The following is a 25208-nucleotide window of genomic DNA, read 5'->3' on the forward strand; positions in this document are numbered from 1 at the left end:
CAGGGTAAGTGGGAATAAAAAAGGTGAACGAACTTTTGGAAATGATGATGCATGTATTTCAATTGTAGTAATGGCTTCATATGTAACAAATATCACATTGCATATTTTGACCATGTACAGTTTAACTTGTGTCAAACCTTAAGAAAACTTTTAAACAATAAAAGAAAAATTACATATGGAAATGCAGGATTCCATTTGGCTATGACTAATAGAAAACTTGAACAAATAGTAGCTTAAACAAATGAGTGTTTTATTTTTCTCCAAGACAAGGCTCTCAGAGATAAGGCTGATCCAGTAGCCCCAGGATTTCATTTCATTAATGTGGTAGATTTCTCAACACTTTCTGTTCCACTGTCATTAGTGTTGTGTCTCTGCTTTATGAGCTCAGGAATACACCTCTATGTCCAGGAATCAAGGGCATGTTATTGGCAGTTAGTAAAAGGAAATGAAAGTAGAAGAGAGTTGTCAGCTGACCCTATTTTAAACAGGTTTTCCATTTTTGTACAGCTCTGTGGCCAAAATTTTGTCCTATGGCAATATTTCTCAGAAAAGAGTCCTTGATATATAGTTTTCATTTTCTTTGTTTAGCTTTACCCATTGTATCTCTGGACTAAATTGAAGTTTTTATAGTTTCTATTAGTAATGAAGAAAGCTATAATAGATATTGGATTGATAACTAGCAGTGTGTGCCAGAGGCATTAATAGTTCTTGTCATTAGTAGGTGTGGAATAAGAAAGAGAAAAGGTTTCAAGAGCAAGAGTACTAAAGCATATACAGTATGATTCCAAGAGAGTCACATCTTGCATATTGTCAATTCCCAATCTCCTTGCTCCTGATAGCTGCAGATAAATGAATATGTGAGTTGGGGTGGGAGAAAGACAGCCAAGATTCATGCAGCCTGATATATATATATATATATATATGTAAGTATATAAGTATATATAAAATATATGTGTATATATATATTATATATATCATATATATTACATATAATATATGTATATATATATTTTATATATATATATATAATAAAGCATCCCCTACTCAATGACTAGAGAGCAAGTGCCTCATATGTAATGAGATCCCTCAGTCTCATATTTTCTAGAAATAAAACCCACAAAAAACAAAAAGCCATAATACTCAGCAAAGTAGAATCCTGCCATCCAGTGCCCCCAAAAGACATCTCTGATATCTTGAAGGAAAATATGATTGTTTTCTCATATTCTAAAGGGTGTTAAATATTTATTCTAAATTCCTGAGAAATGTGTTAACATATATAAGATATTTAATATTAAAAGGCATGTATTTGAAATGCATAAAAATAAATGGAATTTCAGAATCAAGAGAGAAAACAAATAACTTGAGCAATGATAACAAAATCAAATTATACCCAGCCTAAGATTATAAAATTAATAATATAGACTTTGACTTATGCCAATGCACTTATAAGAACGTTATTAATGAAATAATAAATTTCTGAGAAATTACAAATTATGAGAATTAGACTAAGAAGTAGAAAACCTGAGTGAGGCGATGGCGGTGTAGTTACAAGATAATCAGGGATATTACATCTGAGATCTGGACAATTTCAGATGAAACTTGCCAAGTGTCATAAATGGAGTGCTCCCCAGTGCAAACAAAAATATGGCTCCAACCAGTCAATAGGTATAAATATGATCAGATACGACAGAATTTAAGAGTTTAAGAAATTTGAGAATTTTCAAGCACGGATACATTTCTCACTTTCGGAAGTAGTTTAAAGAGATTTCAGGCAGAGCTATAAGTGAAAATAATTATTCATATATAAATAAATATATTTATTTATAACTTGTTTACATCTAAAAGTTAAAATGGATTTAGAACAAGTTTTAGGCTAGTTCTGCAGGATAATATAGGTTACAAACTTATTTTCTCATGAGCTGAAAAATAGATATGGCAGGAAAATACATTTGTTTCCAGAGTGGGTCAGCCATAAAATTTTTTATTCTTTTATTCATAGGTTGGTAAAGATTGAAACTCTCTAACTTGTGTCATTTTGTATCAGGAGACAGTGATAACTGTGAAGTTTGCTAGTATTATTTGTAAGTAGAGCTTCATAACACTGACTTTGAATAAGTCTAAGTGAACCAAATCAGATTTGCTTAGGAGAGCTATGCTAATGTGTCTTGAAATCGGGAGTATGTCTTTGTGTAACCCAATAGGGAGGAGATAGTACATGTCATCTATAATAGTAATTTGAGAATAAATGCAATACTGAATTAAAATGTAATTATGAATAAATAGATTGTTTTGCATTTAATGATACATAAAAATATTTTAATATTTAATACATATTTTAACATATTTGCTAATTTATTCTATAGTAACATAATATAAACATATTTTTATTTATAATATAACAATGCATATTATATATTTGCATATGATATATAAGCTGCCTATAACATAAATATATTTTAATATAAAACAGTTTATCAAAGTTATATCAGCAATGATTTATTGATGTGGGGAATTGAATTATAATCTTAAATAGCTGCATTCCACGAGTAATTATGTGGGAAAATAGACCAGCTGGAGATACCAATAACAAGTATGACCAAGTCTCAAAAAAGAAAAAAAAATAATAATGATAATAATAATTAGTAGATCCAGATAGAATGCTGGAATATATAACATTACATTTAATCTCCAGGTTCTAATATGTTTTATTTTCCTAGAAATAAAAATGATTATTGGTAAAACAGATTCTTTTTCCAGTTTTCTAAGTATTTTAAAAACATTTTTGAAATTGCTTTTACTAATTAATGCTATCACCAGCATTTCCAGGGAGATCCTATTTGCCCACATTCTGGACAATGTTTGGCATTGTTAGACTTCTTCTTTTCCTACCAACACAATGGTGTGCAGATTGAATTAGCATTACTTTTACTTTCACTTCTTAGAATACCAAGTTGGAAAATCAGTTTTATGTATATTTAGTGTCAACATGTGAATTCGTTAGTCATATATTTTCACCAGTTTTCTATTGGCTTGTGGACTTTTCACATTTAAAAGAATATTTTGTTTATTCTCAATGCCAATTCTTTGTTAATTTTGATATATATAAACATATCATTTCACACCGGCCCTTATATTTTAGTTTTTTATACATTAGGTCATGCATATACATTTGTATTTTAATTTAGTTTTAAGGAAGATTAACTTGTCACTTTCTCTCTGTCTTTTACACACAAGAACATCTTTAATATATACAGATATTTTACCAATTAATAATAAAAGGATGCATGCTTCAAGGAGAAGATGGGCAAAGACACAGAAGAGGAAATTTACTAACTATAGAAATTACTTACTATAGCTGTGTGTGTGTGTGTGTGTGTGTGTGTGTGTGTGTGTGTCATTTAAACAATATGTAATGTTAAGGATGGAAACAAAATTCACTGTTTAATAGCTGTGGGTATTCTTGCAAGTGCCCATACAGCCCAGACACTCCCCTGCTCACTGACTTCCCCAGATGGCTTACTCATTAAAAACGTTCCATCATTGCCCAGAGGTGAGGCAAGAGGCCAGCTTTTTGTTTGTCCGTTTTATTTATTTACTTTTTTATTATTGTGGTTGAAACATTTAATATAAGATCTACACTTTTAACAAAATTTTTACTGCACAATACAGTGTTTAACTATAGACACTTTGTACCCATTGAAGAGCAATTAGCTATTTACCCCTCCCCACACCCCTTAGCAATTACCACACTACTCTCTTTTTATGAGTTTGATTATTTTAGATACCTCATAGACGTGGAATCATGCAGTACTTGTCTTTCTGTGATGTCATCCAAGTTCATCCATTTTGTTGCAAATGACAGGATTTCCTTCTTTTTTTTCCCATTTTTTCATTATACTTTAATTTCTGGGATACATGTGCAGAACGTGCAGGTTTGTTACATAGGTATACACATGCCGTGGTGGTTTGCTGCACCCATCAACTCGTCATCTACAATAGGTATTTCTCCTAATGCTATCCCTCCGTAGCCCCCAATCCGCCGACAGGCCCTGGTGTGTGATATTCCCCTCCCCGTGCCCATATGTTCTCATTGTACAACCCCCACTTATGAGTGAGAACATGTAGTGTTTGGTTTTCTTTTCCTGTGTTAGTTTGCTGAGAATGATGGTTTCCAGCTTCATCTATTTCCTTGCAAAGGATATGAACTCCTTCTTTTTTAAAGCTGCATAGTATTCCACGGTGTATATGTGCCACATTTTCTTAATCCAGTCTAACATTGATGGGCATTTGCATTGGTTCCAAGTCTTGGCTATTGTGAATCATGCTGCAATAAACATACATGTGCATGTGTCTTTATGATAGAATGATTTATAATCCTTTGGGTATATATCCAGTAACGGGATGGCTGGGTCAAATGGTATTTCTATTTCTAGATCCTTGAGGAATCACCACACTGTCTTGCCCAATGGTTGAAATAATTTACACTCTCACCAACAGAGTAAAAGCGTTCCTATTTCTCCACATCCTCTCTGGCATCTATTGTTTCCTTACCTTTTAATGATTGCCATTCTAACTGGTGTGAGATGGTATCTCATTGCGGTTTTGATTTGCGTTTCTCTAATGATCAGTGATGATGAGCATTTTTTCATGTTTGTTGGCTGCATAAATGTCTTCTTTTGAGAAGTGTCTGTTCACATCCTTTGCCCACTTTTTGATGGGGTTGTTAATTCTTTTTCTTGTAAATTTGTTTAAGTTCCTTGTAGATTCTGAATATTAGCCCTTTGTCAGATGGACAGATTGCAAAAATTTTCTCCCATTCTGTAGGTTGCCTGTTCATGCTAATGATAGTTTATTTTGCTGTGCAGAATCTCTTTAGTTTAATTAGATCCCATTTGTCTATTTTGGCTTTTGTTGCCATTGCTTTTGGTGTTTTAGTCATGACGTCTTTGCCCATGCCTATGTCCTGAATAGTATTGCCTAGGTTTTCTTCTAGGGTTTTTATGGTTTTAGGTCTTATGTTTAAATCTTTAATCCATCTTGGGTTAATTTTTGTATAAGGTGTAAGGAAGGGGTCCTGTTTCAGTTTTCTGAATAAGGCTAGCCAGTTTTCCCAACACCATTTATTATATAGGGAATCCTTTCCCCATTGCTTATTTTTGTCAGGTTTGGTGGTTGTAGATGTGTGACGTTATGTCTGAGGCCTCTGTTCTGTTCCATTGGTCTATATATCTGTTTTGGTACCGGTACCATGATGTTTTGGTTACTGTGGCTTTATAGTACAGATTGAAGTCAGGTACCCTGATGGGTCTGGCTTTGTTCTTTTTGCTTAAAATTGTCTTGGCTATACAAACTCTTTTTTGGTTCCAAGTGTAATTTAAAGTAGTTTTTTCTAATTCTATGAAGAAAGTTAATGGTACCTTGATGGGAATAACATTGAATCTATAAATTAATTTCAGAAGTATGGCCATTTTCATAACATTGATTCTTCCTATCCATGAGCATGAAATGTTTTTCTATTTGTGTGTGTCCTCTCTTATTTACTTGAGCATCAAAAAGTGGGCAAAGTATATGAACAGACACTTCTCAAAAGAAGACATTCATGCGGCCAACAAACATATGAAAAAAGGTTCACCATCACTGATCACTGGTTTGTAGTTCTCCTTGAAGAAGTTCTTCACATCTCTTGCAAGTAGTATGCTAGGTATTTTATTCTCTTTTTAGCAATTGTGAATGGGAGTTTGCTCATGATTTGGGTCTCTGTTTGTCTATTATTGGTGTATAGGAATGCTTGTGATTTTTGCACATTGATTTTGTATCCTGAGACTTTGCTGAAGTTGCTTATCAGCTTAGGGAGATTTTGGGCTGAGATGATGCGGTTTTCTAAACATACAATCATGTCATTTGCAAATAGAGATAATTTGACTTCCTCTCTTCTTATCTGAATACCTTTATTTCTTTCTCTTGTTTGATTGCCCTGGCCAGAACTTCCAATACTCTGTTGAATAGGAGTGGTGAGAGACGGCATTCTTGTCTTGTGCCGATTTTCAAAGGGAATGCTTCCAGCTTTTGCCCATTCATTATGATATCGGCTGTGGATTTGTCATAAATAGCTCTTATTATTTTGAGATACATTCCATCAATACCTAGTTTATTGAGAGTTTTTAGCATGAAAAGGTGTTGAATTTTATCGAAGGCCTTTTCTGAATCTATTGAGATAATCATGTGGTTTTTGTCATTGGTTCTGTTTATGTGGTGGCTTATGTTTATTGATTTGTGTATGTTGAACCAGCCTTGCGTCCCAGGGATGAAGCCAACTTGATCGTGGTGGATAAGCTTTTTGATGTGCTGCTGGATTCGGTTTGCCAGTATTTTATTGAGGATTTTTGCATCGATGTTCACCATGGATATTGGCCTGAAATTGCCGTTTTTGTTGTGTCTCTGCCAGGTTTTGGTATCAGGATGACTCTGGCCTCATAAAATGAGTTAGGGAGGAGTCTGTCTTTTTCTATTGTTTGGAATAGTTACAGAAGGAATGGTACCAGCTCCTCTTTGTACCTCTGGTAGAATTCAGCTGTGAATCCGTCTGGTCCTGGGCTTTTTTTGGTTGGTAGGCTATTAATTACTGCCTCAATTTCAAAACTTCTTATTGGTCTATTCAGGGATTCAACTTCTTCCTGTTTTAGTCTTGGGAGGGTGTATGTGTTCAGCAATATATCCATTTCGTCTAGATTTTCTAGTTTATTTCTGTCGAGGTGTTTATAGTATTCTCTGATGGTAGTTTGTATTTCTGTAGGATCAGTGGTGATATCTTGTTTATCACTTTTGATTGTGTCTATTTGATTCTTCTTTGTCTTCTTCTTTATTAGTCTGGCTAGCAGTCCATCTGTTTTGTTAATCTTTTCAAAAACCACCTCCTGGATTCATTGCTTTTTTGAAGAGTTTTTTATGTCTCTATCTACTTCAGTTCTGCTCTCATTTTAGTTATTTCTTGTCTTCTGCTAGCTTTTGAATTTGTTTGTTCCTGCTTCTCTAGTTCTTTTAATTGTGACATTAGGGTGTAGATTTTAGATCTTTCCCACTTTCTCCTGTGGGCATTTACTGCTATAAATTTCCCTCTGAATACTGCTTTAGTTGTGACCCAGAGATTCTAGTACATTGTGTCTTTGTTCTCATTGGTTTCAAAGAACTTATTTATTTCTGACTTCATTTTGTTATTTACCCAATAGTCATTCAGGAGCAAGTTGTTCAGTTTCCATGCAGCTGTGTGGTTTTGAGTGAGTTTCTTAATCCTGAGTTCTAATTTGATTGCACTGTGGTCTGAGAGACTGTTATGATTTCCTTCCTTTTGCAATTGCTGAGGAGTGTTTTACTTCCAATTATGTGGTCAATTTAGAATAAGTGCAATGTGGTGCTGAGAAGAATGTATATTCTATTGATTTGGGGTGGAGAATTCTGTAGATGTATATTAAGTCCACTTGGTCCAGAGCTGAGTTCAAGTCCTGAATATACTTGTTAATTTTCTGTCTCCTTGATCTGCCTAATATTGACAGTGGGGTGTTAAAGCCTCCCACTATTATTGTGTGGGAGCCTAAGTCTCTTTGTAGGTCTCTAAGAACTTGCTTTATGGATCTCAGTGCTCCTGCATTGGGTGCATATATACTTAGGACAGTTAGCTCTTCTTGTTGCATTAATTCTTTTACCATTATGTAATGCCTTTCTTTTTCTTTTTTGATCTTTTTGGTTTAATGTCTGTTTTATCAGATATTAGGATTGCAACCCCTGCTTTTTTTTAATTTCCATTAGCTTGGTAAATCTTCCTCCATCCCTTTATTTTGAGCCTATGTGTGTCTTTGCATGTGAGATGGGTCTCCTGAATACAGCACCCCAATGGGTCTTGAATCTTTATCCAGTTTGACAGTCTGTGTCTTTTAATTGGGGCATTTAGCCTGTTTACATTTAAGGTTATTATTGGTATGTGTGAACTTGATCCCGTCATTATGATATTAGCTGGTTATTTTGCCCATTAGTTTCAGTTTCTTTATAATGTCGATGGTCTTTACATTTTGGTTTGTTTTTGCAGTGGCTGGTACCAGTTTTTCCTTTCCATATGTAGTGCTTCCTTCAGGAGCTCTTGTAAGGTAGGCCTGGTGGTGACAAAATCTCTCAGCATTTGCTTGTCTATAAGGATTTTATTTCTCCTTCACTTATGAAGCTTAGTTTGGCTGGATAAGAAATTCTTGGTTGAAAATTCTTTTCTTTAAGAATGTTGAATATTGGCACCTCACTCTCTTCTGGTTTTGTAGGGTTTCTTCAGAGAGATCCACTGTTAGTCTGATGGGCTTCCCTTTGTATGTAACCTGACCTTTCGCTCTGGCTGCCATTACTAACATTTTTTCCTTCATTTCAACCTTGGTCAATCCAACCATTATGTGTCTTGGGGTTGCTCTTCTCAAGGAGTATCTTTGTGGTGTTCTCCGTATTTCCTGAATTTGAATGTTGGCCTGTCTTGCTAGGTTGAGGAAGTTCTCCTGAATAATATCCTGAAATGTGTTTTCCAACTTGGTTCCATTCTCCCCATCACTTTCAGGTACACCAACCAAACGTAGGTTTGGTCTTTTCACATAGTCTCATATTTCTTGGAGGCTTTGTTTGTTCCTTTTCATTCTTTTTTCTCTAATCTTATCTTCATGCTTTATTTCATAAAGTTGATCTTCAATCTCTGATATCCTTTCTTCTGCTTGATTGATTCAGCTATTGATACTTGTGTATGCTTCACGAAGTTCTCGTGCTGTGTTTTTCAGCTCCATCAGGTCATTTATGTTCTTCTCTAAACTGGTTATTCTAGTTAGCAATTCCTCCAACATTTTATCAAGGTTTTTAGCTTCCTAGCATTGGGTTAGAAAATGCTCCTTTAGCTCGGAGTAGTTTATTATTACCCACCTTCTGAAGACTACTTTTGTCAATTTGTCAAACTCATTCTCCATTCAGTTTTGTTCCCTTGCTGGCCAGGAGTTGTGATCCTTTGGAGGAGAAGAGGCACTCTGGGTTTTGGAATTTTCAGCATTTTTGCGCTGGTTTTTCCTCAACTTCTTGGATTTATCTCCCTTTGGTCTTTGATGTTGGTGGCCTTCGGATGGGGTTTTTATGTGGATGTCCTTTTTGTTGATGTTGATGCTATTGCATTCTGTTTGTTAGTTTTCCTTCTAATAGGCCCCTCTGCTGCAGATCTGCTGGAGTTTGCCAGAGGTACACTCCAGACCCTTTTTGCCTGGGTATCACCAGCAGAGGCTGCAGAAGAGCAAAGATTACTGCCTGTTCCTTCCTCTGGAAACTTCATCCCAGAGGGGCACTTGCCAGATGCCAGCCGGAGCTCTCCTGTTGGAGGTGTCTGTCGACCTCTCCTGGAAGGTGTCTCCCCATCAGGAGGCACAGGGGTCAGGGACCCATATGAGGAGGCAGTCTGTCCTTTAGCAGAGCTCAAGTGCTGTGCTGGGAGATCTGCTGTTCTCTTCAGAGCTGGCAGGCAGGGACGTTTAAGTCTGCTGAAGCTGTTCCCACAACTGCCCTTTTCCCCATGTGTTCTGTTCCAGTAAGATGGGAGTTTTATCTATAAGCCCCTGACTGGGGTTGCTGCCTTTCTTTCAGAGATGCCCTGACCAGAGAGGAGGAATCTAGAAAGGTAATCTGGCTACAGTGGCTTTGAAGCACTGTGGTGGGCTTTGCCAAGTTTAAACTTCCTGGAGGCTTTGGTTACACTGTAAGGGGAAAACCACCTACTCAAGCCTCATTAATAGCAGACGCCCCTCCCCCCACCAAGCTGGAGCATCTCAGGTCTACTTCAGGCTGCTCTGCTGGCAGCGAGAATTTCAAACCAATGGATCATAGCTTGCTGGGCTCCATGGGGGTGGGACCTCTGAGCAAGACCACTTGGCTCCCTGGCTTCAGCCCCCTTTCCAGGGGAGTGAACGGTTCTGTCTCACTGGCATTTCAGGCACCACTGGGGTACAAAAAAATACTCCTGCAGCTAGCTCAGTGTCTGCCCAAACAGCCACCCAGTTTTGAGCTTGAAAGCCAGGGCCCTTGTGGTGTAGGCACCCGAAGGAATCTCCTGGTCTGTAGGTTGCAAAGACCATGGGAAAAGTGTAGTATCTGTGCTGGAGTGCACTGTTCCTCACAGCATAGTCCCTCATGCCTTCCCTTGGCTAACGGAGGGAGTTCCCTGACCCTTTGTGCTTCCTGGCTGAGGAGGCACCCCACCCTGCTTCAGCTCACCCTCCATGGGCTGCTCCTACTGTCTAACCAGTCCCAATGATGTGAACCGGCTACCTCAGTTGGAAATGCAGAAATCACCTGCCTTCTGCGTTGGTCTCGCTGGGTGGGAGCTGCAGACCGCAGCTGTTCCTATTCTGCCATCTTGCCCAGGAATCTCTCCTTCTTTTCTAATGCTGAATAATATTCTATGTATATATCATATTTTCTTTATACATTCATTCATTGATAGACACAGGTTGATTCTGTATACAAATAATGCTGCAATGTGAATAATGCTGCAAAGAACATGGAAGTGCACATATCTCTGAGATTCTGATTTCAATTCTTTTGGATATATACTCAGAAGCGGCAATTGTTGACGAATATGGTAATTCTATTTTCAATTTTTTGAGGAACACTATTTTCATAGTGGCTGCACCACTTTGCATTCCTACCAACAGTGTTACAAGGGTTCCAGTTTCTCCACATCCTTGCCAACAAGTATCTTTTGTTGATGTTTTTAATTCCAATGTGTGAAGTGATATCTCATTGTGTTTTGTGTTTTGATTTACATTTCCCTGATGATTAGTGATGTTGCACATATTTTTATATACCTTTTGGCCATTTGTATGTCTCTCGTCATTATTATTTCTGCTTCCTATGTCTCTCGTCACTCTCTTGTTATTGTTTCTATTCTTTACGGAAATTTACCTAACATGAATAAATAGAGTCCTTTATATACTTTTTCTACTGTGCTTTATGCTTTGCCCTTCATATTTAAGCCTGAAATACATCCAGAATTTATTTTGTGTGTGGGGTGCAATGGGATTCTTATGAGGATAAAATGTAAACCATTTAATGAAGTTTTAATTTAAAAATATACAAAATAATGTGGAGTTCATATTTTAAAGCAAAGTTATTCTCATAGGATTAAGTATAAGAAAAGGGGTGGAATGGGAAAAATAAACAGATGTGGGTTTAGATTAAAGGCTGGCTCTGCATGTAACTAATCATAGAGAGGGAGAGATCAGAGACAAACGTGAAGTACCATTTTCATTGACTTTAGAACATATATTTGTTTTCACATTTTTAACAATTCTAAAGTTGAGATGATACAATCACTGGCATGTGGTAGTTCATTTGGCAGATTTTTTCTTTGGTAATGTTACGCAAACTATGGCATAATATAGAGTCAAGAACACTTTAGATTTGATGAAGCACTTTAATAAAATATTCTCTATGAGCTGAAGAGGGAATAGATATTTAGATTGATGGAATCCACTGACTGTTGAACGGAACCAATGATCAAAGACTCATGGTGAAACAGATTAAGATAAAATATCAGAGACCGAAAATTGAAGAGAAAATATTCTCATATATATGAGGGTGGCAAAAATCAACTGAACTGACTGGGCGCAGTGGCTCACGCCTGTAATCCCAGCACTTTGGGAGGCCGAGGCGGGTGGATCACGAGGTCAGGAGATCGAGACCATCCTGGCTAACATGGTGAAACCCAGTCTCTACTAAAAAATACAAAAAATTAGCCAGGAGTAGTGGCGGGCACCTGTAGTCCCAGCTACTTGGGAGACTGAGGCAGGAGAATGGTTTGAACCCAGAAGGCGGAGCTTGCAGTGAGCCAAGATCGCGCCACTGCACTCCAGTCTGAGCGACAGAGCGAGACTCCGTCTCTAAGAAGTGAAGAAAATTAGACTAACGTCATTGTTCTCATCAACAATGAAGGTTACAAACAATCAATCAACACCTTCCAAATTATAATAAAATAACATTTTTGAACTTATAATTCCATAAACTGGAAAGTTATCAAGTCATGACAAGATACTGTCACACTGGGGATCTTGCCTTGCATGATCTCAAGCTTCGCCTTTTGTCAGCAATGTGATTCCCAAATCCCAAGCTTCCATATAGGCAAATATTTTGAGTGTTTGATTATTCGATCTAGAATATTTCCAATAGCCAAAGAATACGAATATTAGTCATCTAAGCAAACTATATGAAAAAAAACTTAAAAAGTTACGACAGCAAAATGTAAAGATCTATTTCAAAGAAGGTAAAATTGGAAACAGAAGGCATGGGAGTAAAGATAACCTAAGAAAGAAAATAAAAAAATTAGAAGCAAATTCATTGGACCGAATGAATGGCAAAGTCTTCACTGAGCAACAAATATTTGAAGCACAGACTCACATCTCTTTTCTATTGGATTATTCACAATACTTGCTCTACAATATTGATTGCATTATTATAATTGTGTAAATGTTGTGTAGAGAGTTAAGTTTCAAGTTTTAAACTGACGAAAAAGCACAGAAGAGTTCATTATATATGAAAAGGAGGATAAACGCTGTAAAACTTGACAATGAAATAATCATAGTAAAATTAACACAAACCAGGAGTTGAACACAGAAGTGGGGAGCAGGGAAATTTACTGCATTCTTCACATTTTTTAGTGGTAAATCAGTATTATTTCTAAGGAATTTTACAATAGACTAAAGAAAAAATGTATATAACTCAAAGTTATACAATTGATCATCAAATGAGTAAAAATTAAAAACTCAAAAAATGGTTATCTCTGAAAATGGTTCTGAAGCAGGGAAAAGAGGCTGGTAACTATTTTTGATTTTAAGATCCTATCTTTAAAACTATTTTTTTCATAAATAATTCAGAATTGAAGGAAAGTTAAAAAGAATCGAGAAAAAAGTTGCCCCTTTCCTTTTTTCCCTCTGCATCAGTTAATTTAATTTTAGAGTATTTCTCTTCCACATGTGTACAAATATTTTATTCATTCTTTTCACTTTTACATCTAGTGTTTCCTATTTTTCTCCACAAAATTAAGGAAAATTCTTGGTTTTTAATTCTAACTTCATTTCACTAATAACCCAAGAAATATCTAAGTCAGAACTTACAACCTAAACTATAACATATTTTTCAATTACATAAAAATATTAAGTAAAATTAGGCATGATATCAAATAAGTACCATAAATCCCTAAAATTCTTGAATGATCTAAGCATTTTTTTTTTTTTTAGACAGGGTCTTATTCTGTCTTGCAAGCTAGAGTACAGTGGCGCAATGATGACTCACTACAGCTTTGACCTCCAGGGCTCAAGCTATCTTCCTCAGCCACACTACCCCCAGTAGCTGGGACTATCTTAGCACACCACCAGGCCTGGCTACGTTTTTAAATTATTTTTTTGTAGTGACAGGATCTCACTATGTTGCCCAGGCTGGTCTTGAATGCCTGGGCTCAAGCAGCTCTCCCAAGTCTCCCATCTAGGCCTCTCAAAGTGACAGGATTACAGGTATGAGCCACTGTGCCCAGCCTGATCTAAGTATTTTCATGACCATTTTTAATTAACTTCCATCTGAATATTTACACTCAACCTATTTTCTCTCAAAAAACACAGTATTTGGGGTAAAATTTAAAATGTTTCACTAATCCATACAAACACTTCTGTTTTATTCAGAACTATTTTAAAAATCCTTTTAATGTAATTAATAACAATTTAAAATATCTTGATTAAGATGAAATATTTTAAGTTAATTAATTAAAGAGGTTTTTTTCTTTGAGTCTACTAAAGAAATGCATATGTTGACCCTATAATAAGATATGTTTGCCTGTGTGCTAGCTTCATTTCAAGTACTAGCTCAGGAGAAAATATTTCTTTCTGAGTATAAACTGACCATCTTAAAAATAAGTGTTTTGAACAAATTCATGTAAGAGTCAGAAATTTACAAATTTTTCTGTTCTTGTTTCTTTAAAATAATTTCATTGAACATACAATCTCATATATTATAGTTTTAAATTTTATTTATGATGGCAAGTAAAAAGATATGACTATTATACCAGATAGAAGATAATAATTTCTGTCTAACATGTACATTTGTTGCTATATTAAGTACATTACATTTCAGTGATCAAAATAAAATGGAAATAATTAGTTAAGGTTCAAACAACTAATTTATAGAATTCCCAACAGCAAGAATGTTGTAATACGCATTGCCTAAAAAAAGCCAAACCACAGTAAAAGGATTGTGATAATAGCCTATTATTTCTGTCTTTAGACAAAAATACTTTGTATTTTTTTTGTTGACACATTTTTTGAACTCTCATTGGAAAAATAGGCAGTTATACACTATTGTAAATAACACAACCAAATCAGAGGAATGGTACTGAAATTAATTATGCAAATCACATAGGTACAACAGGATCTCAGTTATTGTAAATTATTTTGGTTGAACGTGAAACAACAATGAAAGGTTTTTTTAGCAATTACATAAAATTTTAAGGTGTAGGGAAAATTATGGAAGTTAAATTTTATTTAATTGAAAGATGTACCCAGTAGCAAATATGTTTACATGTGTGAATGAACAATATGGTTTTTAAATTTTATTGTTAGTATAAATTATTTTTCTTTACTATTGACTATTAATTATTTTTTAAAACAACTGTTAGTGGTAAGTATCAAGGACTTGTCTAATATGTGATTTAAAAAATAGTTCTAACGGTTCAGACTTAAGAATAGTGTTTGCTTTAGGATAGTGATAATTGTCCTTTAGTAGGTGAAGCACATAAAGAGAAATTATTATGACAGGAGAAAAAATTATGTTTTCTTTCATTTATTGGGATTATTTTTATCATTTAATGTGTTAATGAATGTGCACATTGTGTAATTTCTAGTTTATATTTGTCTTCAGGATTTTTTGCATCTATAGTCATAAGTAAAGTTGTCTTCAAACTCCTTTGCTGTTTCTCTTGTCTCTTAATTGGCTTGTTATCTGAGTTTTTAGAATTTACATATTAATTTTTTAACTTTTAAGTTTAGGGGTAAATGTACAAGTTGTTATATAGGTAAACTTGTGTCATGGTGTGGCAGGCCAAGTATCACTAACAGCTGAACAGGCAGGCCTCCATGACAACTGTTTCAACACTGACAAATGCTGACAGAGGCCAGGCGCAGTGGTATAATCCCAGCACTTTGGGAGGCCAAGGCGGACAGATCACCTGAGGTCAAGAGCTCAAGACTAGCCTGGCCGACATGGCGAAACCCCGTCTCTACCAAAAATACAAAAAAATTACTCGGGCATGGTGGCAAGTGACTGTAATCCCAGCTACTCCAGAGCCTGAGGTGGGAGAATCGCTTGAACCAGGGAGGCGGAGGTTGCAGTGAGCCAAGATCACGTCATTGCACTCCAGCATGGGTGACAGAGAGAGACTCCATTTCAAGAAGAAAACAAAACAGAAGATTATTATGGGTAAAGGCTTTTATATACAAATTATTTTTGAAAAAAAATCTCCATTCAAATTCCAGACAAAACACGACACATAGACACATTTGTGTATGTATGTGTCTCTGTGTCTCTGCTAGAAATGCTGACTATCCTTTCACTGAGTGGATCTCCATGGAATCTAGCTACCTGCTGACTATCCTTTCATGAAGCCTATATTTCAAGAATGTTGGCATTTTGTGGGGACATGGGGGTAGGAAGGAAAGTTCTTATAACCTACTCATTTCCATCAACTTGCCTTGCATGATCCCAAAGGCTTGCCTTTGTCAACCATGTGATTTCTAAACCCGAGGTTCCACAGAGGCAAATATTTTGAGTGTAAACATGGATTTATGGCTTGGTTATTCATATATTCCCTGCTATGTATTTAGTTTGCACAGCTGAAAATATTCATTATTTCTTATAGCCTTTGTGATTTACCTAGTATCAGAGTAAGGTCAGGTGCCTTATCTCCGCTCTTGAATTTGTAGGCATTTCCTTTTCTCAAGTGAACAGTTATCTGGGGAAATTGCCACAGATTTCTTTATGGAAGTATGAGAATAATATTTTTTGTAAACATTTTGGATGGTAATACAATGTCTTTTCTTAAAATAATTTTCTCTGCTTTTTAATCATTGCATCATTTGTAGCACCTTGGTGAAAAATCATTATTTCCCATTGCAATGACTGACATACTGACCTTACTGACTCTCCATTTTGTTTTGATTATATTGATTAAACACCCTACCTATCATACCTCCAGGGACATTATGAACTACTCTAGGTTAACACAGTGACCTGAGAGTCAGAGCACATTGTTAGACTTCCAGCCTTACTATAACATAAGGATTAAAGCCATCTTACCTATCACAATAAAAAGTCCACAACCTGATATCTGCTATTATGAAATTCTATAAAACATGTTAAAATTAGGGAATGTGGTTCCATGGCAACATCTTCCACTGTTAACTCTAACCAGAAGAGGATGGCCAACAGCAAATGTCTCAAAAGATGCTGGTGCCCCCTTACCTGTCCATTCTTCATTGCTTTATGAAAGATAGTGATCTCCGTGCCCTGCCAAAGAATAGAGTAAGGTGAAAATTTATATTTCTTTTTTCAGCTTTAGTGATGTATAATAGATAAATGTGAATTGTAAACATTCAAGGTACACAATGTGATGTTTTGATATATGTATAAATTACAAAACAATTGCCACAATCAAGCTAATTAACATATCCATCACCTCACATAGTTGTCTTTTTCTTTTCTTGGTGGTGAGAATGCCTAAAGTCACTCCTTCACACATTTCTAGGATATATTATGTTATTCTTAGCTATAATTACCATGCTGTACATTAGGTCTCTAGCGCTAATTCACCCTATAAGCACAAGTTGCTACCCTTTGATCAACATGTCCCTCTTCTCCCACCCCAGACTCCTTGTAACCACCCTTCTACTCTCTATTTTATGAGTTCAAACTCTTTAGATTCCACATATAAATTAGATTATGCAGTATCTGTATTTCTATGTCTGCCTTCCTTCACTTTGCATAATGTCCTTCATGTTTATACATGTTTTTACAAAACTCCTCCAAGAAAACAGGAGAATGGTCTATGACATTGGTCTTGGCAATGATTTTTTTGATGGGACACCAGAAGCACAGGTAAGAAAGGCAAATATAAGCAAATAGGACTACATCAAACTAAAAAGTTTCTGTACAGCAATGGAAACAATCAAAAACTTAAAAAGTAACCCCCAAAATGAGAAAAAATGTTTGCAAATTGTGTATCTAATAAGGAGTTAATATCCAAACTGTAAGAAGAGCTCTGAGAACTCAATTGTGAAAAACCAAATAACCCAATTAAAAAAAATGAATAAAGGATCTAAACAGACATTTTTTCAAAGAAGAAACACAAATATCCAATAAGTATATGAAAAAGTGTTCAACATCACCAATCATCAGGAAAATATAATTTAAAAATACCTCACATCTGTTAGGATAGCTATTATCAAAAAGTCTGAAGGTAAGTATTGGTGAAGATGTAGAGAAAAGGCAATGCTTATATACTGTTGATGGGAATATAAACTGGTATAGCCATTATAGAAATGAGTATGAAGGTTTCTGAGAAAATTGAAAATAGGGTTACCATATAATTCAGCACTCCCACTTCTCATTATATATTCAAAATAATTAAAATCACTGTTTCAAGAGATAACTGCACTCTTATGTTCATTGCAACATTATTCACAACAGACAAGAACTGGAAACAACTTAAGTGCCTGTCAATGTATAAATGGATATAGATAGTGATACAAAATGAAATAGATGTACATATAGATATAGATAAATAAAATAAAATATTAGTGAGCTTTAAAAAAGGAAATTTCTTAGTTTCTAACACAGTAAATCCACTCCAACATTCCCTACTTACTCCCTGATAATTCCAAGGTCTTATATTAAGGACACACCAACATCTCAATCTCATTTACTATAGGGCATCATTATGTTCAGAACTCAAGGTGATAACACAGCAGTGTATTAGGACAGCTCTGTCTCTCCTTGCCAGAATACTTAATGTATAGTAAGGGATAAGTCCCTTTTTCAATGCGTTTTCCCTTATCTACTCTTATATTATTCCTGCTCTGGTATAACTCCCTAAAAATACATCTCCATACATGTTATCCAGGTTCCTTCAAATATATATTTAATAAGCTTTTTTTTTCAATTTATGGTGGGAGAATTTAGATCCCTTTTTTTTCTGGAGGACGGCCAATATTTTCCAATTTCAATGATGCTAAATCGGAACCTTGGTTATTAATACAAAAACATTAGAGTTGGTTTGGATGTTCTTGAGAGGAACAAACTTTATCATGCAAGGTGCCTCCTTCAGGTGAGGTCACTATGCAAGGAAATCTGGTTTGTTTTGTTTTTGTTTCTCTTCTGAAAAGGGGAGAGGATGTTACTGTTTGCCAAGGAGTTTTACAGGGATTTGGGTTTTCAAATTTCCCACACTCTGAGGCTATCATACTAAGACTAAAGCTCTCTCTCCTACTTCATCAGGGATCTGACTTTATTATAACACAATTATTCTGGCTTTAGATTACTTCTCATTCTTTATTATTAGATCCTGAAGCTAATGTTCACCAAGGTCTGTCCGTTATCTGTAGAGGATAAGAATTTCTAGTTAAACATCTTTTTCATTCTCACTTTCACAGCATGATTTAAGTTGCTAATTAACACTTCTTAACCTAAAAATTTTTTGCAAAGCTTCACTTGCTTTCAAAAGCAGCTTCTTCACAGAAAATAATAATAATATAATAAGGTCATTATTGCCATTCTACCATCAAGTACAATAGCAACTTTCCTCCTGCCAAAGTATCAACTCTCATCTGAACCTTATCTGTCAACCAAGTTTTATGCTCACTCAAATTGCAAACAGAAGCATAAGTTCCCGTTTTTGTGTTTGTTAGTTTTGCTTTGCTTTGTTTTAACAAGTGGGAAAGCTAGATCCAAAATATGACTCTGGCCTTTTCTGGTATTAAGTGTTTTAGTCCCTATTTCCTGAAAAATAAGGCTATGGCCGTTTATGTACACACATATGTGTTATGTATATATAGGAATTACATAGACATATAGACACACACATATATGCGTATGTATATATAATTTTATTTGGAGGTACAATCCTCAGACAGGGAAAACTAAAGTGAAACAGGAAAGTAGTGGAAGCAAATGCAAGACGGCACTTTATTTTTTTATTTTATTTTATTTTTGAGACAGAGTTTCACTCTTGTTGTCCCGCTGGAGTGCAATGGCGGGATCTTGGTTCACTGCAACCTCCACCTTCCAGTTTCAAGCGATTCTCCTGCCTGTCTCCCGAGTGGCTGGGATTACAGGTGCCCACCACCATGCTGGCTAATTTTTGTATTTTTAGTAGATACGGGTTTCACCATGTTGGCCAGTCTGGTCTCAAACTCCTGACCTCGTGATCTGCCCACCTCGGCCTCCCAAAGTGCTTGGATTACAGGCGTGAGCCACCGTGCCCGGCCAATGGCAGCTTATTGAGTTGACCAGAGCTTCAGAAGAAAACACAGGAAGTGAACCAATATGTCTAATAGATGTCCATCAAGGGAGAAATAAGAATACTCCATTCACTTTCTTCTTCATTTCTTCTGCCTCTTATATTTGAATATTGCCTCATGTTGTGTTAACTCTTCTGTGTGTTGATCATGTGTCACTTGGTCCAAATGAGCTGCCTCTGGGGTGTTGGATCTCATGACTCCTGGTGTGGTGCTGCATCAGAATCAGGACCTGGCAAAAGAATCCAGGTACTCTGTGAGTCCGAATGATGAGAGCAGGGTAACAGAGCTACTGAAATGTCTAATATGGCAGATCTCATGGAAGCTGCACCAAAAGCTAGGTTCCAGTCTTGGGTAGCAAGTGACAGTTGGTGATATTAGATGATGAGGCAAGTTGCTAGAAGTAAGTGCTCTCTTTCGAGCAAGTGGTGGAAACCCAGGGGACAAGTGGGGTACAGTGTACCAAAGAAAGAGCAAAAATTAAGCCATTATAATTCTACTTTGTTCTCCATACCCAGCTTTAAAATATTATTTCTATTTTTCACATGCACATTCTTCAACTTTTATTTTCATAATTTCTATATATTATTTTAAAAGTGTCTCTTGTAAGCAACAAATTAGTAATTATTTTTGTGAATTTAAGTTTCCACCCTTTCATTGATATATTTAAGCCATATTTTCATTACTTTAAACTTTTTTCTATGATACTGTTTCATCTTTTCCATTTACGTACTTTATTTTTCTTGCCTGCTTTCACTTGTATATGTATGTGTTTATCATTTGCATATGTTAAATTTCCTCCTGCTGAATATAAATTTACATATGTTGTAATTCTTTGGAAACTAGATAAGACACATATTTGAGCCCTTTTTACAACTATTGATTTATAAAATTGATCAGAATATATACATTTTCAAAGGAAGACAAGAGCATTAGTATAGTTTTTCAATATGTTATCTTATCTCTGCCCAACACCATATTGGCATTTTCTACAACTTTATATTGGATTTTTCAGATACATATATTTTAATTTACATTTGTTTGGCTCTCTGATTATGTTTAATTTGCCTATGTTCATCTTTCAATTTTCAACTTTTCTCCAAAATTTCTTTCAAGTCAGCTTGTTGGGGAAAAACATGAGAGCTTAACTGATATTTTTATTGCGTTTTTCACTAAATGACAATTTAAATGGAGAGTAGTCTTAACACTGAAAAATTTGCTTCCTATTTCTTTTCTTGTTGTTTTTTTGCTTCTTGGTTCTTTTTTGCAGCCAGCGTTTCTGTTAAGAAGTTTCCCTTTCTCAATGTGATTTTTGATCCACAGTTATTACAAATTTATCAAAGTGTAGATATGGTATTTTTTGGTGACCTGTTGACACATTATGAATTGTTTCAATGTGTGATTTTAAAATCATTCTTTGATTATGGAAAATATGCCACCACTACTATTTTCTCCCTTCTATTTGCTTATCTTTCCTTCCGGTATTCCTATTATTGAGATTTTAATACTTGTAATCTCCATGCCTCTTAGCAACATTTTCTTAAAATTATTTATTTATGAAAGCTTTCTAATGAGTTTTATGAGAATTCTTCATTCTAATTCTTTAGCTCAGTAGTATACTCTTCCAATGTATTTGTTCCAGTACTCTTCATTATGCCTTTGCATTTAATTATTATGTTTTTCAAGATAATCTCAATATGTCTATCCCAACAATTCTACTTTGGTGATCTCTTTGAACTTTATCTTTATTTTATGGCAATGCTCTTCCAGCTTAGACCCATCTTCCTCTAGAGACATTAGTCTCCTTCTTAGGTAATGAGTATTGGTGATGGATCCAAACCACATGCTTTAGTTTATAGTGCACCTGGTAAGTTTAAAGAAAGAGAAAACTATGTGGTGAGAACAGAGCTCCAGGTATCATAAAGCCACATTTCACTATTTATGCTGATTGTTTACTGCCACTCAACCATGTATTTATTCTCATTAGTAATATAAGAATATTCACTTTCCTTAAATTCATTCAAAGGTAGCTTCCCTGAAGCAGCAGCAGCACCACCACAATTGATATTTGTATAGCATATGCTATGTGACAAGGACTTATGTGTGTGTATGTTCATTTAATCCCAACAGCAATCCTACAGAATGTGTACTATCACGAGCTCACTTTACAGACAGGAAAACTGACATAAAGAGAAGTGATGTCTACTGAGTCTGGCCCAGAATGTTGGCAGTTGAGATTTTACCTAGTTTTCAAATTAGAACTGCAGTTTAAATATTGATGAGTATTATAGTTACACTATGCAGACTTTTAAAAAAATTTTTCCATAAAAAGGCCTTATGAATATATTAAAGTTAATCAGTTTATTTTTACAACTATGATTTCAATAATCTGGGAATTTGATTTGCATAGTGTACTGAAAAGTAATAAGCAGATAAAATATTTTATAAACAAAGGAATTTGGAAAACATCTTAAACTCTATATATTTAATCTTATAAAGTAAAGAAAATGTATCTAACAAATTAGAGATTGACATTAACTTTTGCAAGAACAAAGAATGTTAAGATATTAAAAATGCATGTTTTCAAAATAAAAAAGAATGAAGATTAAAAAAAGAAAGTTTAGCAGAAAGGATTTTTTTTAAGTAGAAGAAAAAAGTAAGAGCATGTACATAAGAGTATCAGCTGGGAAATGAGTTTAGTTTGAATTAAGATCATTCACCAGATTGAGGAGGAATCAAACAATGCAAATTAGAAACATGATATTGCATTTCAAAAGAATGTTTCCTCACAGATGTTGTAGCTGAATGTAGTTTCTATTCTTACCTTTCCTTTAGATGGTAGGGCAACAGATGAGTACAGAGAAAAGGAAGCAGCATTTAACTTAAAGTGAAAAGAGAGAAATCACTATTATCTGGACCAATTATTATTTAACAAAAGAACTTGATTTACTGTAAAAAATAGTCTTTAAAATGTGTCCTTTTCTGTGTTCTTTATATTCTTTTGGGGACTTTGTATTGGTCAAGGAACAGATTCTACTATACACAATTTGAATAGAAGGGGATGTATTAAAAAGTATGTCAAATGGCTTACAGAATTGAGATGGCTGAAGGAGATTCTACAATGAAATTCCAGAATCTGCTCTTAGGTCTGTGCTGCAGAACCAAACTGCAAAAGGAGTTGTTTCTTTTGCCATGATCAAGAAGCTGCTGGTCAAATCAGGAGGCATTCTTCATTGAGTATACAAATATTAGAACTATCTCCATTCTGAGCTGCATAAATTAGCTGTAGTTACTGCTTCCAAAAGGCACTCTGTCCTCCCATCAGGAAACATCATGTGCAAAATCAAGAAGCTGCTATTATAGCTGCAGAAGTCTATACCATGCCACATTTTCTACTATCAAGAAGCCATCTCTGCCAAATCAGCTAGCCTCAGAGACAAATTTTGGCTCCAGAACCATGCCACATTTGCTACAATCCACATTGATAATATATCTGCACCATATCCTATATATCTCCATTCAAATTTCAAATTTCAATGTGTTTGTCTCTGATGTGGGACCTAAATCACATTTACGTTATCAAATGAAAATGAATTGGAGAAATTTCCCTTATAGTTTTCTGCCCTCTACAGAAAAGGAAAGTCACATCAGAAGAAAATTTGAATAGGTGTTTTAAGCCAAACCAGAATAACTGCATTAGACTTCACTCTTACTTTATATCTCTGCTTTTATTTTTAAAAATTTCTTATATTTTCACACATGGAATTTACATTTGATCCATCTTTGAGCATAGTCTCAGAGTCTGAAACATTCCAGCTATGAAGTAAGTACTTAAATGGCTGTTCAATAAATTAATATGAGCTACTTTCTGATAATTAAAAAATCTTTTTTATAAGAATACAATAGGAAAACATTGGATTTACTGCTCATTTTTTTTATGGTATAAGCACATCTAATCCTGTATATGAAAGAGTACCAGCTGGAGCCTTATCTGAAATTTCTACACATCTGGGAAAATTCGTTAAAGGTTGAGCTAGATTGAATATATTAAACAACTCTATTGGTATAAAAAAGTAGAAAATACAAAAGACAGAAATATTTCTAAAAGATAAGATAGCCTGAACAATGCAATTAATCAAAAAATGATCTTCAGTTATCAAAATTGGGTAGTGATTGTGACTATATTCTGGTGGCTATAATTCTAATATTCCTTCATCCAACTCTCATGGGCATAAAAACTAGGTCCCAGGAGAAAAGTAGGCTAAAATTAACAGCTGCAGCAGCTGTTTCCATATAACACCAACAAACAAGCAAACAAACATCTATAAAATTTTGTAGTCCAAGCAGAAATAATTTGGTTCCCAGTAACTTAATGTTACATAAAATATGGAGTAATATACTCTCCCACACATCACCTTAGACCTTCAAGGAATGGGAATCTTTATAGAAAGGAATGTCATGCATGAGTAAAAACAAATACAAATTTCAGATTTGTATTAATTATTGCCTTTTTGCTGAAATAGTTGCTACCAAAAAACCAGGTTGTTTTCCTGAGTCTATTTACTCATGGTTTTAAACAGCAGGTGGCCAAAGATTAATGGTTGCTGCTTGAAAAGAGTACTTAGCAAGATTTTTAACCAAGTTAGCTTGGTGAATAGAAGACCATATTTTTGTTTTATTTAAAAACAACATTTATTTTAAGTTCAGGGGTACCTGTGCAGGTTTGTTTTACAGGTAAACTTGTGTCACAGAAGTTTGTTATACAGATTATTTTGTCACTCAGGTATTAAGACTACTACCCGTTCGTTATTTTTCCTGATCCTCTCCCTCCTTGTAACCTCCACCCTCTGAAAGGCCCCAGTGTATGGTTTCCTTCTATGTGCCCGTGTGTTCTCATCATTAACTCCCACTTATAAGTGAGAAGATGCGGTATTTGCTTTTCTGCTCCTGTGTTAGATTGCTAAGGATAAAGGCCTCCACCTCCACTCATGTCTGTCTGCAAAGGAAATGATCTCATTCTTTATTATGGCTGCATACCATTCCACGGTGTAGATGTACCACATTTTCTTTATCCAGTCCACCACTGACTGGCATTTAGGTTGATTCCGTATCTTTGCTATTGTGAATAGTGCTGCAATAAACATATACATGCATGTGTCTTTATGGTACAAAGATTTATATTCCTTTGTGTATATATCCAGTAATGAGATTGCTGGGTCAAATGGTAGTTCTGCTTTTAGCTCTTAGAGGCATCACCACACTGTTTTCCACAATGGTTGAACTAATTTTCACTTCTACCAGCAGTGTATAGCATTATTTTTGTCTGCAACTTCACCAGCATCTGTTAATTATTGACTTTTTAATAATAGCTATTCTGACTGGTATGAGATGGTATCTCATTGTGGTTTTGATTTGCATTTCTCATATGATCAGCAATGTTGAGCTATTTTTCATAGTTTGTTGGCCACATTTATGTCTTCTTTAGAAAGTGTTAAAGTCCTTTGCCCAATTATTAATGGAGTTGTTTTTTTCTTATAAATTTAAGTTCCTTATAGATGCTAATGACTTTTGTCAGATGTATAGTTTGCAAAAACTTTC

At 35.2% G+C, this 25208-nt stretch overlaps 1 long non-coding RNA gene across 2 annotated transcripts in view, besides 1 other annotated feature; it reads right to left on the reverse strand.

The window, feature by feature from the left end:
• LOC105377514 (uncharacterized) overlaps nt 1-16605 on the reverse strand; it is a 58262-nt gene extending 41657 nt beyond the window's left edge. For both annotated transcript variants that reach the window (XR_939408.1, XR_939407.1), the window contains exon 1: nt 16561-16605. This is a non-coding gene — a long non-coding RNA (uncharacterized LOC105377514). The remainder of the gene's footprint in view (nt 1-16560) is intronic.
• Nucleotides 14165-14334: an enhancer, noted in NCBI's record as "experimental_75339 CRE fragment used in MPRA reporter constructs". NCBI's record gives its function as "activates a minimal promoter by MPRAs in K562 erythroleukemia cells, with activity observed for both the introgressed and non-introgressed 4:162043690 variant alleles {active_cell/tissue: K562}" and the evidence as "EXISTENCE:reporter gene assay evidence [ECO:0000049][PMID:34662402]".
• Nucleotides 16606-25208: the final 8603 nt, after the last annotated feature.

Source organism: Homo sapiens, chromosome 4 (genome assembly GCF_000001405.40).
Source record: "Homo sapiens chromosome 4, GRCh38.p14 Primary Assembly".
NCBI lineage: Eukaryota > Metazoa > Chordata > Mammalia > Primates > Hominidae > Homo > Homo sapiens.